Raw genomic sequence first — 13,200 nt, 5'->3', positions numbered from 1 at the left:
TGCAATGGTGTGATCTCGGCTCACTGCCACCTCTGCCTCCCAAGTTCAAGCAGGTGGGGCAGCTTACACCTATAATCCCAGCACTTTGGAAGGCTGAGGTGGGAGAATTGCTTGAGGCCAGGAGTTCAGAACCAGTCTGGGCAACAAAGCAAGACCCTGTATCTACCACTGCTCCCCGCCAAAAAAGAAAAAGCCAGGTATAGTGGCACACGCCTGCAATCTCAGCTACTCTGGAGGCTGAGACGGGAGGATTGCTTGAGCCAAGGAGTTTGAAGCTGTAATGAGCTATGATCGCACCACTGCACTACAGCCTGGGTGACAGAGCGAGACCTGTCTCAACCAAAAACTGAAAACTAAAGTCAGAGATGGAGGATGTCAGGTTTCAAGCACCAACTTGTTGCACCCTTGCTGCTTGAAAACAGAGGTAAAGACTGAGTGTAGCTTCTAGCACCTGAGAACAGACCCTGATTGGCAGCCAGCCAGAAAACAGAAACCTTAGTCCTACAACCACAGGAACTGAAACCTGTCGATAAGAATAAGCTTTGAAGTGGATTTTCCACAGAGCCTCTGATAGAACTTAGCCTGGCAAACTACATTTTAGCCAATATGATAATCTTAGAAGAGAATCCTGCCACATTGTGCTGGATTTCTGATTTACAAAACTGAACTGATAAAAACGGACATTGTTTTAAGTATTAATTTTTGTGATGTTATTCAACAATAGAAAATTAGTACCTTTATTAAAGATTTAAACAAAACAAAATGTTCTAATGGCCAATTATAAAGTAATTGTTTAAACAGGCAAGTTCTATAGTTACCTTGAAATGTTCTTTTTTTTTTTTTTAAAAAAAAAAAGACCAAGTCTCACTCTGTCACCTAGGCTGGAGTGCAGCAGTGCAATCTTGGCTCACCACAACCTCCGCCTTCCCTGTTCAAGCGATTCTCCTGCCTCAGCCTCCAAAGTAGCTGGGATTACAGGCGCCCGCCACCATGCCCGGCTAATTTTTGTATTTTTAGTAGAGACGGGGTTTCACCAGGTTGGCCAGGCTGGTCTCGAACTCCTGAGCTCAAGTAATCCACCCGCCTTGGCCTCCCAAAGTGCTGGGATTACAGGCTTGAGCCACCGTGCCTGGCCTCTTAAAATGTTCTTAACGTGACAGGAGACACAACTTCATTCACAGTAATTAGAAATAAATATCACCTAACTTGTTTGACCATCAATTTGTTTCTGATTAATTATAGGAAGTCAATCTGGAGAAACAGTCAGATGTGGTCAATTCCATTAATCTTATTAAAACTCATTATTTCTTATCTTCCTTTAAAGGGAATTTCCTGAGAAGTTATCTTCCCACTCATTTCTTTCCTCCAGCTACAGTTAGCAGAGAAGGCATAAAGTACTCACTTCAGTTTGTATAACTCTAATGAGGCAAAATAAATGCTGCTGCGTTTTAGCTATGACACCAAACTGACGACAGCGCTCCAAAAAAGTATCTAAAGAAGGGTCAATTCTTCTTTGCAGTTTACTCCAAAAAAGAGTCAGTTCCCTATAAAAAAAGAAGATCATGGTAAAACATTTAAAGTAACTGGTATTTGCTGCCCTGCCCCCGGCAACCCAATTTTTTGATCTGTAGAAAGCTGACAGTAGAGAAAACAAAAACTAGATTAAAAGCTGTCTATATTCACCACTGCTTTCTCCCAAACTGATAAAATTGTTAAGAATCCTCCGTAACAATTCCCTGACTTCTCTCTTGTGTTTAGGGGGAAAAATAAAAACAAAACACTACCTCCTTAACAGTGGCATTTAAAAAAAACTTATTTAGATCCCATGTTGTTCTAAAAGGTTTTATCCTTCACACTGGTGATTAATATACTGATTGAATTAAGCCCTGTCCTAATGGGCAGAAATAATCAGCCATCACTAAATTAACAACGAAATATATATACAACAAAGACACTCTAATGGTACACTTCTATACAGTGATCTTAAAGGGCCCTTTCCAGATCTAAAATGTCAGGATGCTACTTAGAGCCTGTAGTTTGGAATGGTTAAATACTTCCAGTGAAATAAGTAAAATGGCACTTTTTGGAAATGGCTAAAATACAGGAATCTCACAAAGATTCATTATGGAAACAAAAGGAAAGCTTGAAAATAATAAATTAAACAAAAACATTTAATGGGTAAAACACTCACGCAAAAAAGCATTAGAAACTCAACAATGCCAAGGATAGAAATGCTAATGAGAGAATGTAAAATGTGAATGCAAGGAAAGCTAATAGTGAAACTAAAAAGAATGTTATCACTTCTAATAGCAAAACTAAAAAGAGGCCGGGCATGGCGGGTGGCTCATGCCTGTAATCCTAGCATTTTGGGAGGTGAAGGGGGGCAGATCACTTGAGGTCAGGAGTTCGAAACCAGGCTGGCCAACATGGTGAAACCTCATCTCTACTACAAATATAAAACTTAGCTGAGTGTGGTGGTGGATGCCTGTAATCCCAGCTACTTGGGAGGCTGAGAACAGGAGAATCGCTTGAACCTGGGAGGTGGAGGTTGCAGTGAGCTGAGATAGCGCCACTGCACTCCAGCCTAGGCGACAGAGCAAGACTCCATCTCAAAAAAACAAAACAAACAAACAAAAAAAACACTAAACTAAAAAGAATGCTATCACTTAATACATGTGGCTCTTTTAAGTAAATCAATGGATACTGATTAAATAATTTTCATTTAAAAATCTGTACTTTTTCATAAGCCAATTTAAAAACACTGATATCCTATATTGCTATTAACACAGACTGTCTCCCAGAAAGTTGGCTACAAATCCAAAGCTTAAGAAATGAAAACATGTAATTTAAAGTAAATATATTTAACGGAATTTATTTTCTTATATTTCTAAAGAGGGAACTGGGGCTCTTGTAAGGTGATTTTCTTTTCTTCTTTTTTTTTTTTTTGAGACGGAGCTTTGCTCTTGTTGCCCAGGCTGGAGTGCAATGGCACCATCTTGGCTCACCGCAACCTCCACCTCCCAGGTTTAAGCAATGCTCCTGCCTCAGCCTCCCAAGTAGCTGGGATTACAGGCATGTGCCACCACGCCTGGATAATTTTGTATTTTTAGTAGAGATGGGGTTTCTCCATGTTGGTCAGGCTGGTCTCTAACTCCCAACCTCAGGTGATCTGCCTGCCTCGGCCTCCCAGAGTTCTGGGATTACAGGCATGAGCCACCGTGCCCGGCATAAGGTGAAATTTTTAAGTAGTTATAAAACTCGCTTCAAAGATTGAAATGAATATATGGTGTCTCAAAAGATAAATGACTGGCCGGGCGTGGTGTCTCATGGCTGTAATCACAGCACTTTGGGAGGCCAAGGCAGGTGGATCACAAGGTCAGGAGTTCGAGACCAGCCTGGCCAACATGGTGAAACCCCGTCTCTACTAAAAATACAAAAATTAGCTGGGTGTGGTGGTGCATGCCTGTAATCCTAGCTACTCAGGAGGCTGAGGCAGGAGAATTGCTTGAACCCGGGAGGTGGAGGTTGCGGTAAGCCGAGATTGCACCACTGCGCTCCAGCCTGGGTGACACAGCAAGACTCTGTCTCAAAAAAAAAAAAAAAAAAAAAAAAGATAAATGAATAAAGCTTAACAGGATGGCAAATTTGAGCTATAACCAATATAATTAATTTAAAATGCCTTTAAATATTTGCCTTTATTTGGCTAGTGCTACTTTCCTAACCACAAGAAGTGAAAATTGAGATAGGCCAGCTGTGAAAATAGCCACCAACCAGGCAAGCTGGGATAACTGTTCATTTTTAAACACACAATTGCTTTATTCAGATTTAAGCACGTTAAGTAATAAAAATTTTTGTAATCTGTCATATGTATGTGAAATCTGTCCTATTTGAACAGAACAAAAATTATCAAAGCCAGTAAATCCTGATTATAACGATAAATGAGTAAATGATGTCAACTATCTAAAATTTACTGCAGGGCTGGGCATGGTGGTTCATCCCTATAACCTCAGCAGAGGATTACTTGAGGCTAGGAGTTCAAGACCAGCCTGAGCAACGCAGTAAGACCCTAAAACCAACCAAACAAAAAAAGCTTAGCCACTCTTGGTGGCACACCTGTAGTCCCAATTACTGAGGAGGCAGAGGCAGCGGGGGGCGGGCAGGGTGGTCATTGAGCCCAGGATTTAAGGCTGCAGTAAGCTGTGATCTCACCAGTATACTCCAGCCTGGGTGACAGAGTAATATCTTCTCTCAAATAAAATAAAATTCACTAACTAAAGCTGGGCACAGAGGCTCATGCCTATAATCCCAGATACTTGGAAGGCTGAGGTGGGAGATCACTTGAGCCCAGGAGTTCAAGGCTGCAGCGAGCTTCGATTTTGCCACTATACTCCAGCCTGGCAACAAAGTTAGGTAAATCCATTAAAGTGGTAAAAGGCAGGTTGAGAACTAAGGTGTCTCAAATAATTTTTTTTTTTTTTTGAGATGGAGTCCACGCTGTCGCCCAGGCTGCAGTGCAATGGCATGATCTTGGCTCACTGCAACCTCCGCCTCCCGGGTTCAAGTGATTCTCCTGCCTCAGCCTCCCTCGAGTAGCTGGGATTACAGGCACCCACCACCACGCCCAGCTAATTTTCGTATTTTTAGAGACGGGGTTTCGCTATGTTGGCCAGGCTGGTCTTGAACTCCTGACCTTAGGTGATCCGCCCACCTTGCCCTCCCAAAGTGCTGGGATTACATTACATGCATGAGCCACCACGCCTGGCTTTTTTTTTTTTGAGATGGAGTCTTGTTCTGTTGCCCAGGCTCGAATGCAGTGGCATGATCTCGGCTCACTGCAACCTCTGCCTCCCAAGTTCAAGCAATTCTCCTGCCTCAGCCTCCTGAGTAGCTGGGGACTACAGGCGCACGCAACTATGCCTGGCTAACTTTTGTAATTTTAGTAGAGATGGGGTTTCACCATGTTGGCCAGGCTGGTCTCGAACTCCTGACTTCAAGAGATCCACCCACTTCAGCCTCCCAGAGTACTGGGATTACAGGCTCAAATAAATTTTTTCCCCCCAGATGGAGCCTTGCTCTGTCCCTCAGGCTGGAGTGCAGTGGTGCGATATCGGCTTACTGCAACCTCTGCCACCCAGGTTCAAGCGATTCTCCTGCCTCAGCCTCCCTAGTAGCTGTGATTACAGGTGCCCGCCACCATCCCCAGCTATTTTTTGTATTTTTAGTGGAGACGGGGTTTCAGCATCTTGGCCAGGTTGGTCTTGAACTCCGGAACTCATGATCCACCTGCCCTGGCCTCCCAAACTGCTGGGATTACAGGTGTAAACCACCATGCCTGGCCACTCAAATAATTTTTAAAACAGTAAGTCAGAATGTCCAGGGCTTGGTTTATTCCAAATTAAGTATTTCAGGCTCCAAGTATGTTAACTCCAAATAAGCATGATCAAAAATGGGCATTTTATGGTGTATTTTGTAAAAATATTTGCATAGTTATAAATTGATGTAAAATGATTACCCACCCAAATATATAAACATGCCTGAAACCACGACAGCCAGTATGTTACTCATGAGGATGCAAGATGTCACTTCAATCATCCATTCAAATCTGTACACTGGAACACTGAAATCAACATCCAATAGTAACCTACAGCCTGACAGATCAAACATGCGCTAGGATAAGTTCTTCTTCAATTACTACAATAATGTGACTTTTTTAAACAAAGCCAACCATTGAAAATCATGGAAAATGATTCCACTGTATGTATGCTGCCAATGTTCAGATGATGTACTGTACCCTTGATTTAGCCCATTACCTAGCTCATTTCAACAAATTATATATAAATTTATAAAAATCGGAAAGGAAATTTAGCTCTGTTAACAGCAAGAAGCACATTTTGGTAGGAATTTAGCTACTAAGCAAGAACTTTAAATTACTCTGTGTTTTGGCCAGTGTGGTGGCTCACCTGAGGTCAGGAGCTCGAGACCAGCCTGGCCCACATGGTGAAACCCTATCTCTACTAAAAATATAAAAAATTAGCCAGGCGTGGTGGCTGGCACCTATAATCCCAGCTACTCAGGAGGATGAGGCAGAGAATCACTTGAACCCGGGAGGCAGAGGTTGCAGTGAGCTGAGACTGCACCATTGCACTGCAGCCTGGGTGACAAGAGCAAAACTCTATCTCAAAAATAAATGAATAAATACATACACACATATATACATACAAACATCACTCTGTGTTTCTACATAGCAAGAAGCCCATGAAGTCCAGTTAACATGTTACACTGAGATTCAGAATTTAGGTATTTTAGGAATGAAGTAAATAAAACTGTGGAATTAAGGGATGATCATCCCCTAAAAAAGGCTATTACAGAAAAAAAAAATTTTTAAAGCTATTACAATAGTAATTGACCCCCATGACCTCTTTTCTCTCCCATACAATTCTGTTAAATAAAACACATATGCTAGTCTTCGCCAGTTACTTAGGACACAACCGTGAATTAGACAACATATTGGTTAGTATATCACAGTCTAGCTGGGGCAGAACAGACATGTAACTACATCTGAAGAAATACAAATGTGTAACACAAAATTTAAGCTTAGCACATTACAGAAATCAAAGGCCAGTCTATCAAATACTCACTGAAAGCTTACTGTGGAGGTTCAAAGTTCAACTTTATGACTTTAAAATGGCTGCCGTAATTACACCTCTCTATATACAAACACCATCTCACTCAAAATGGTCACCTTTTTCAAATGCATGACTATTCCAATTACGTTACCACTGAGAGGCATCTACAGGGAGCTTACTCCTCTAGTACTTCTTTAATTTTCTTCAACAGCCAAAAATCTTTTGGGGTCAAGATTAATAAATAAGTTAAACATAACTGCTATAAAGTTTAAAACATTTTTACTTTTTACTGTGGTTTGTAAATGTCTCTGAGCGAAATTTCTAAAATAATAAAAACCGTTCTGAGTGACAGTTACATAGTTTTTTGTTTTTGTTTGGTTTTTTGAGACAGGGTCTCATTGTGTCACCCATACTAGAGTGCTGCAGTGTGATCTTGGCTCATCACAACCTCCACTCCCAGGCTCAAGCGATTCTCCTGCCTCAGCCTCCTGAGTAGCTGGGATTATAGGTGCGTACCACTACCATCCGGCTTTTTTTTTTTTTTTTTTTTTTTTTTGCGACGGAGTCTCGCTCTGTCACCCAGGCTGGAGTGCAATGGCGCCCGATCTCGGCTCACTGCAAGCTCTGCCTCCCAGGTTCACACTATTCTCCTGCCTCAGCCTTACGAGTAGCTGGGACTACAGGCACGCCCGCCACCAGGTCGGCTAATTTTCCGTATTTTTAGTAGAGACAGGGTTTCACTGTGTTAGCCAGGATGGTCTTGATCTCCTGACCTTGTGATCTGCCCGTCTCGGCCTCCCAAAGTGCTGGGATTACAGGCATGAGCCACCGCGCCCGGCTTTTTTTTTTTTTTTTTGAGACAGAGTCTTGCTCTGTCACCCAGGCTGCAGTGCAGTGGCACGATCTCAGCTCGCTGCAACCTCTGCCTCCAGGGGTCTAGCAATTCTCCTGCCTCAGCCTCCAGGGTAGCTGGGATTACAGGCACACGCCACCACGCCCGGCTAATTTTTGTATTTTAAGTAGAGATGGGTTTTCACCATGTTGGCCAGGCTAGTCTCGAACTCCTGACCTCAAATGATCCACCCGCCTCAGTCTCCCAAATTGCTGGGATTACAGGCGTGAGCTACTGCGCCTGGCCAATAGCTACATAGTTTACATTTCAAATATTATCTTCATGGTAACTACACTCAAGAATGATACTCCCAAGACATAAATTCTAGCGTATGTGTTTAAAAATAAGCATGACTACTTTTATTATTGTATTTTAACTTTATTGTCACATTTAAAAAATACTGATATCTCTCTTATCCAAAATACCACTTAATTTAAAATTTTTTTCTAAACAAATACTCCTTATGTCCCACTACCTCAAGCATAACAAAAGATCTATCTCATATGAACAGAATTCCTGTGATTAATTTTCCTTAGTAAAATTCAATGTTTTTTGTTTTTTGTTTTTGAGACGGAGTCACTCTTGTCTCCTGGGCTGGCATGACCTCGGCTCACTGCAACCTCCGCCTCCCAGGTTCAAGTGATTCTGGTACCTCAGGCTCCCGAGTAGCTGGGATTACAGGTGTCTGCCAAAATGCCCGGCTAATTTTTGTATTTTTAGTAGAGACGGGGTTTCACCATGTTGGTCAGGCTGGTCTTGAACTCCTGACCTTAGCTGACCCACCCACCTTGGCCTCCCAAAGTGCTGAGATTACAGGCATGAGCCATGCCTGGCCAAAATTCAATGTTTTATGTTATTCTAATATTCTAACTCCAGCATCCCACTACCAAAAAAAAAAAAAAAAAAAAAAAAAAAAAAAGCTTTCAAAAACAATGGAAGGGGAAAAAAAAAAAAAAAAAAAAAAGATGTGGCCAGGCGCAGTGGCTCACGTCTGTAACCCTAGCACTTTGGGAGGCTGAGGCAGTGGATCACAAGGTCAGGAGTTTGAGACCAGCCTGACCAACATGGTGAAACCCAGTCTCTACCAAAAATACAAAAATTAGTCGGGCGTGGCAGTGTGCACCTGTAATCCCAGCTACTCGGGAGGCGGAGGTTGCAGTGAGCCAAGATCACACCACTGCACTCTAACCTGGGTGACAGAGCAAGACTTCGTCTCAAAAAAAAAAAAAAAAAAAAGATGCAATTGCTCCTTGAATTGCTTGAAAGAAGCTCCTTTTAACAAAGTGTGAAATGACTAAGATTTTCTTTCCTTTACTCATTATAGCTCCTGAGGAGGCCACAAAGGGAAATCTCCATTCATCTCTTCCTGCTACAGAAGAACAGCATTAATCCTAGAGCCACTAACAGCTCTGGAAGAGTGAATGGTGGCTGACTGAAGAAGGGGAGAAAAATTTTAAACACAATCTATAACACATTCTATATATGATTTAATTTATTATTCGTACTGAAAACCTAGCTATAATGGTGGATATTTTTTCATTATAAAGAAATTATATTTAAGTCGCTATCCCACTATCTCCTTTCTCACAGGAGGTATAACTCTGGCATAGTGGATTTGGTGGTAAAAAACTACAATTTGAATTTTGGCCTATGCCAAGAAAACAAGTATACAGAAGAAAAGCACTGGATTAGAAGTCTAAAACCTGGGCTTGAATCTCAGCTCTACCACTTTAGCCTTGAGACCATGGACAATTACAAGTTTTCTCTGGTCCCTATGATCCTCCCACTGCCTCACCTGTGCAATGATTATTATGAGGACTGGGTGAGATTACAGTACACAAAATTTCTACATAAAATAATAAACAAAAAGAAATATAGTAACATACAATGGTATTAACCATAAAACTATAAAAATAGACAGACGATCCAGAGGGAGATCAATGAGGGCTGAAGTACACAAAAGGCTTTACTAGGTTTTCCTATAAACAAAATGCTCATTTCCAATTTTAAGCCATCCTTAGGTTCTGAAATACTCAGAGCTCCTCTAATCAAGATAATGCAAATCCAACCCATTCTTAGAATTAAATCTCAAATATTACTTCCTCCCTGACACCTTTAATACTCTGGTATACAGTGAGCACCTCTCTCTGATCTCCTATAGCATTATCCATACCACTAATCTGATACTTACTGACAGAGAGTCTTACATTTTAGAGGTTTCCTGTGTATCAGGTTTGTCCCTTTGGCCTAAATAGATTCAATACAGTTAGAATGAAAGAACCACGGATACACTTACTGTTTCCTTTTTAGCAACTAAGTATTCTGTAGGCAAACAAGATATAAATTGAATTAAAACCAAAATAATGCAATTCAACTATATAGTTCCAAAGTTGCAAAAGAGATTACTATTCAAGTGAATTTCCTTTTTTAGTGCTAGTTTGACCTAGAAACCTAGATAATTTGATCCTTTTCATTTGTGGGTTCCCAAATAAGAATGGGGAGTGACTACCCAGAAGATACTAAAAAAATGAAAAGAAAAACAATCTAACTAACACAGGTTTGTTTCATATTGACAAAATTTTATCTTCAAGGTAGAAGACATATATTGGAGTTAACAGACAACCCATTATGGGATGATCAAGAGGAACATTTTACCTTTTCTTGACTAGATTAAACCAATGATATTTTTAATTAAATGATTGTGTGTGGAAGCAAGAAGCTATTCACAGGTCATGCTAGGTTTTAAATTAGAAACAAATTAACATTTTACATAAACCCTAAATGCTATACTATGTACTAACAAATAAAGAGTGTAAAACTAAATATACTTACCAAGAACAATATACACTTGCAGTTTGGAGCTGCTGGGTAAGGTAAGTCGTACAAAGAACAAATGCTGTGTTATCCTGCCCCTCAGATTCCAGATTACAAATGATGTCTAGTACTTCCTTGCAGTCGACCTTTGCAATCTATCAAAAATGAGATGACTAAGTCAAAAAGAAAATGGTGACTTTTCAGTAAACTTTGTTATATAAGGTGAAACTTCTTAATGAGGCAAAAATTAGAGACATAATTTTCTCCTGCTAATGAATGAGTCTTCTTGCATGAATATTTCACATAAGAAAATATTAAAGAAGGGAACAGACACTATAAGGAAGTTCTACTACAGTCTCAATACAGATAAAAACATTTTTGCAGTTTAAAAAAATTACGAACATTGCTACCATATAGATGAGTCAAATTATATATAATAATCTCAGGTTATTTTTACCTGAAGTATTACTATGTTTTTTTTTCTTTCCTGTTCCTGTCTTCCCCTAGTATCTATGACCACAGCTGGGTCACTCTGGTTACAGATAGTAAAACATATGGCTTATCCTCAATATCAGTGGGGCTAAAGGAGGCCAGTTCAGGAACTGCTTTAAATACAAATGCTACATTAACATCATTTTTTCATAGAAGGAAAATATCTAGTGTATTAATGAGTTTTTCAGACCATCAAAACCCTTTTTAGAAATATATCTTTTCATTTATATGACTTAAATCTTAAAAAAACAAACAAAAAACAAATAAAAATCCTCTGGACAAATCAATCAAATTTTTCTGGGGCTCCTTTCCTTTCTCTTTTTTTTTTTTTTTTTTTGAGACGGAGTCTCGCTGTGTCGCCCAGGCCGGAGTGCAGTGGCGCGATCTCAGCTCACTGCAACCTCCGACTTCCGGGTTCAAGCCATTCTCCTGCCTCAGCCTCCAGAGTAGCTGGGACTACAGGCGCCCACCACCGTGCCCAGCTAATTTTTTATATTTTTAGTAGAGACGGGGTTTCACTGTGTTAGCCAGGATGGTCTCAATCTCCAGACCTCGTGATTCACCCGCCTTGGCCTCCCAAAGTGCTGGGATTACAGTCGTGAGCCACCGTGCCCGGCCTTTTTTTTTTTTGCATCAGAGCAAATGAGGTAAACAGCTCAACTCCTCCAGTGCGCTACGCAGTTACAAGGGGGTGGTTCTAAGGCTCTAATTTTAGTCATATCTTCAGGTAGGTGCAGAAAGGCTTTTTTTAAAGCTCAGCTCAAATGTTATTTTCTTACAGAATCCTTTCCTAACTTCTGAGGTCATGTTATTTGGTTCGCTGTCAAACACTCTCAAATTTCTCCTTTGTAGCACTTATTTCTAGAACTTTTATTTTTTCAAATAAGTTTTACTGTATTATCTTGTTTTTTTTTTCATATCTCAACATGACAAATCTGTAAGACTGGCAAGGCAGGCAATATTATTTCTATTTCACAAATAAAAAATGAGTCCAAAGTTCATTTTTAAATTAAAAATGTTTAAATTGGGCTATTTATTCTGCCTTGGGCCAACATTTAACCTACTCATACTGGCCTTTACCTTTTATTATTTTTAGTTTTTTTAAGACAGTGTCTTACTCTGTTGCCAAGGCTGCAGTGCAGTTAGGGTAATCACGGCTCACTGAAGTTTCCATACTTCTGGGCTCAAGCGATCCTCCTGCCTCAGTTTCTCAAGGAGCTGGGACCACAGGTGTGTACCACCACACCTTTTTTTTTTTTTTTTTTTAATTTTTGTAGAGATGAGGTCTCACTATGCTGCCCAGGCTGGTCTCAAACTCCTGGCCTCCAGTGATCCCTCCTCCCTCAGCCTCTCAAAGTGTTGGGATTATAGTTGTGAGCCAATGCCCTGGCCCTATTATTTAACTTTTTTATGCACTTTCACTATGGCTCTCCAGCTAGACTATAAACTTGAGGACAAGAGCACAGCTCTATAAATAATATCCCAAATCCACTGTAAACAAAATCCTGTAAGAAAAATAGCCATATCAAAATGTATGTGCCTAGCAAAGCAGTGCCATTTGCTAAATACCTGCACCGTGCTAAGTACTGGAGATGCAAGCCAATCTAATTTTTGCCCTAATGGATATCACAGTCTAGTCAGGGTTGTTAGTAAGGAAGCAGTTACTAAGAATCAAATAGCTACAATGAGAGAGTATACTTTTTAAAAATACCTTTGGTAGGAAGAATCTAACTCAAATTTGGGGACCAAAAAAGACTTTCTGGGTAAAGTGGCACCTAAGATGAGTAGGAATGAATGAGTAGGAATAAGCCATGGCAAAGAGAGAGTGAACTGAGAAAGATACTCCAGGACAAGAAAAACACATGCAGTGGCCTAATAAGAGTGAGCATGGCATAGAAATAGAAATAAAATATTTCAGTATAGTTGTGGGTAACCCAGCAATACTGTGGGAGCATCAACTCTTGAGAGTTGCTAGGAGTAGAAGCACTTTTGTTTTTCTTTTCTTTTTTGAGACAGAGTCTCGCTCTGTTGCCCAGGCTGGACTGCAGTGGCGTGATCTTGGCTCACTGCAACCTCTGCCTCTCAGGTTCAAGTGATTCTCCTGTCTCAGCCCCCCGAGTAGCTGGGATTACTACACCACGCCCGGCTAATTTTTTTATATTTTTAGTTTCACCATGTTAGCCAGGATGGTCTCAATCTCCTGACCTCATGATCTGCCTGCCTCAGCCTCCCAAAGTGCTGGGATTACAGGCGTGAGCCACCGCACCTGGCCAGTACTTCTGTTTTTCTATTATCATTATCTCCATGCCTTCTAAGTTACCACAGGGATTGTTGGTAAACATGCTCCTGCACTGGCCTAAACAAGCAAAGTTTAAC

At 40.7% G+C, this 13,200-nt stretch overlaps 1 protein-coding gene across 3 annotated transcripts in view; it reads right to left on the bottom strand.

Moving 5' to 3' along the window:
* RLF (RLF zinc finger) overlaps positions 1–13,200 on the bottom strand; it is a 79,535-nt gene that overhangs the window by 7,861 nt on the left and 58,474 nt on the right. For 2 of the 3 annotated variants that reach the window (NM_012421.4, XM_047427055.1), the window contains 2 exons: positions 10,351–10,487; positions 1,403–1,544 (listed from right to left, as the gene is read on the bottom strand). In NM_012421.4, coding sequence (NP_036553.2) covers positions 1,403–1,544; positions 10,351–10,487 — 279 coding nt within the window. Of the gene's footprint in view, positions 1–1,402; positions 1,545–10,350; positions 10,488–13,200 lie in introns of those variants that run through there. The other variant, XM_047427057.1, reaches the window with a different exon arrangement.

The sequence above is a fragment of the Homo sapiens genome, chromosome 1 (assembly GCF_000001405.40).
Source record: "Homo sapiens chromosome 1, GRCh38.p14 Primary Assembly".
Lineage (NCBI taxonomy): Eukaryota > Metazoa > Chordata > Mammalia > Primates > Hominidae > Homo > Homo sapiens.
Note: the sequence above shows the minus strand (reverse complement) of the source record. Positions and strands in the feature narration are given on the sequence as shown.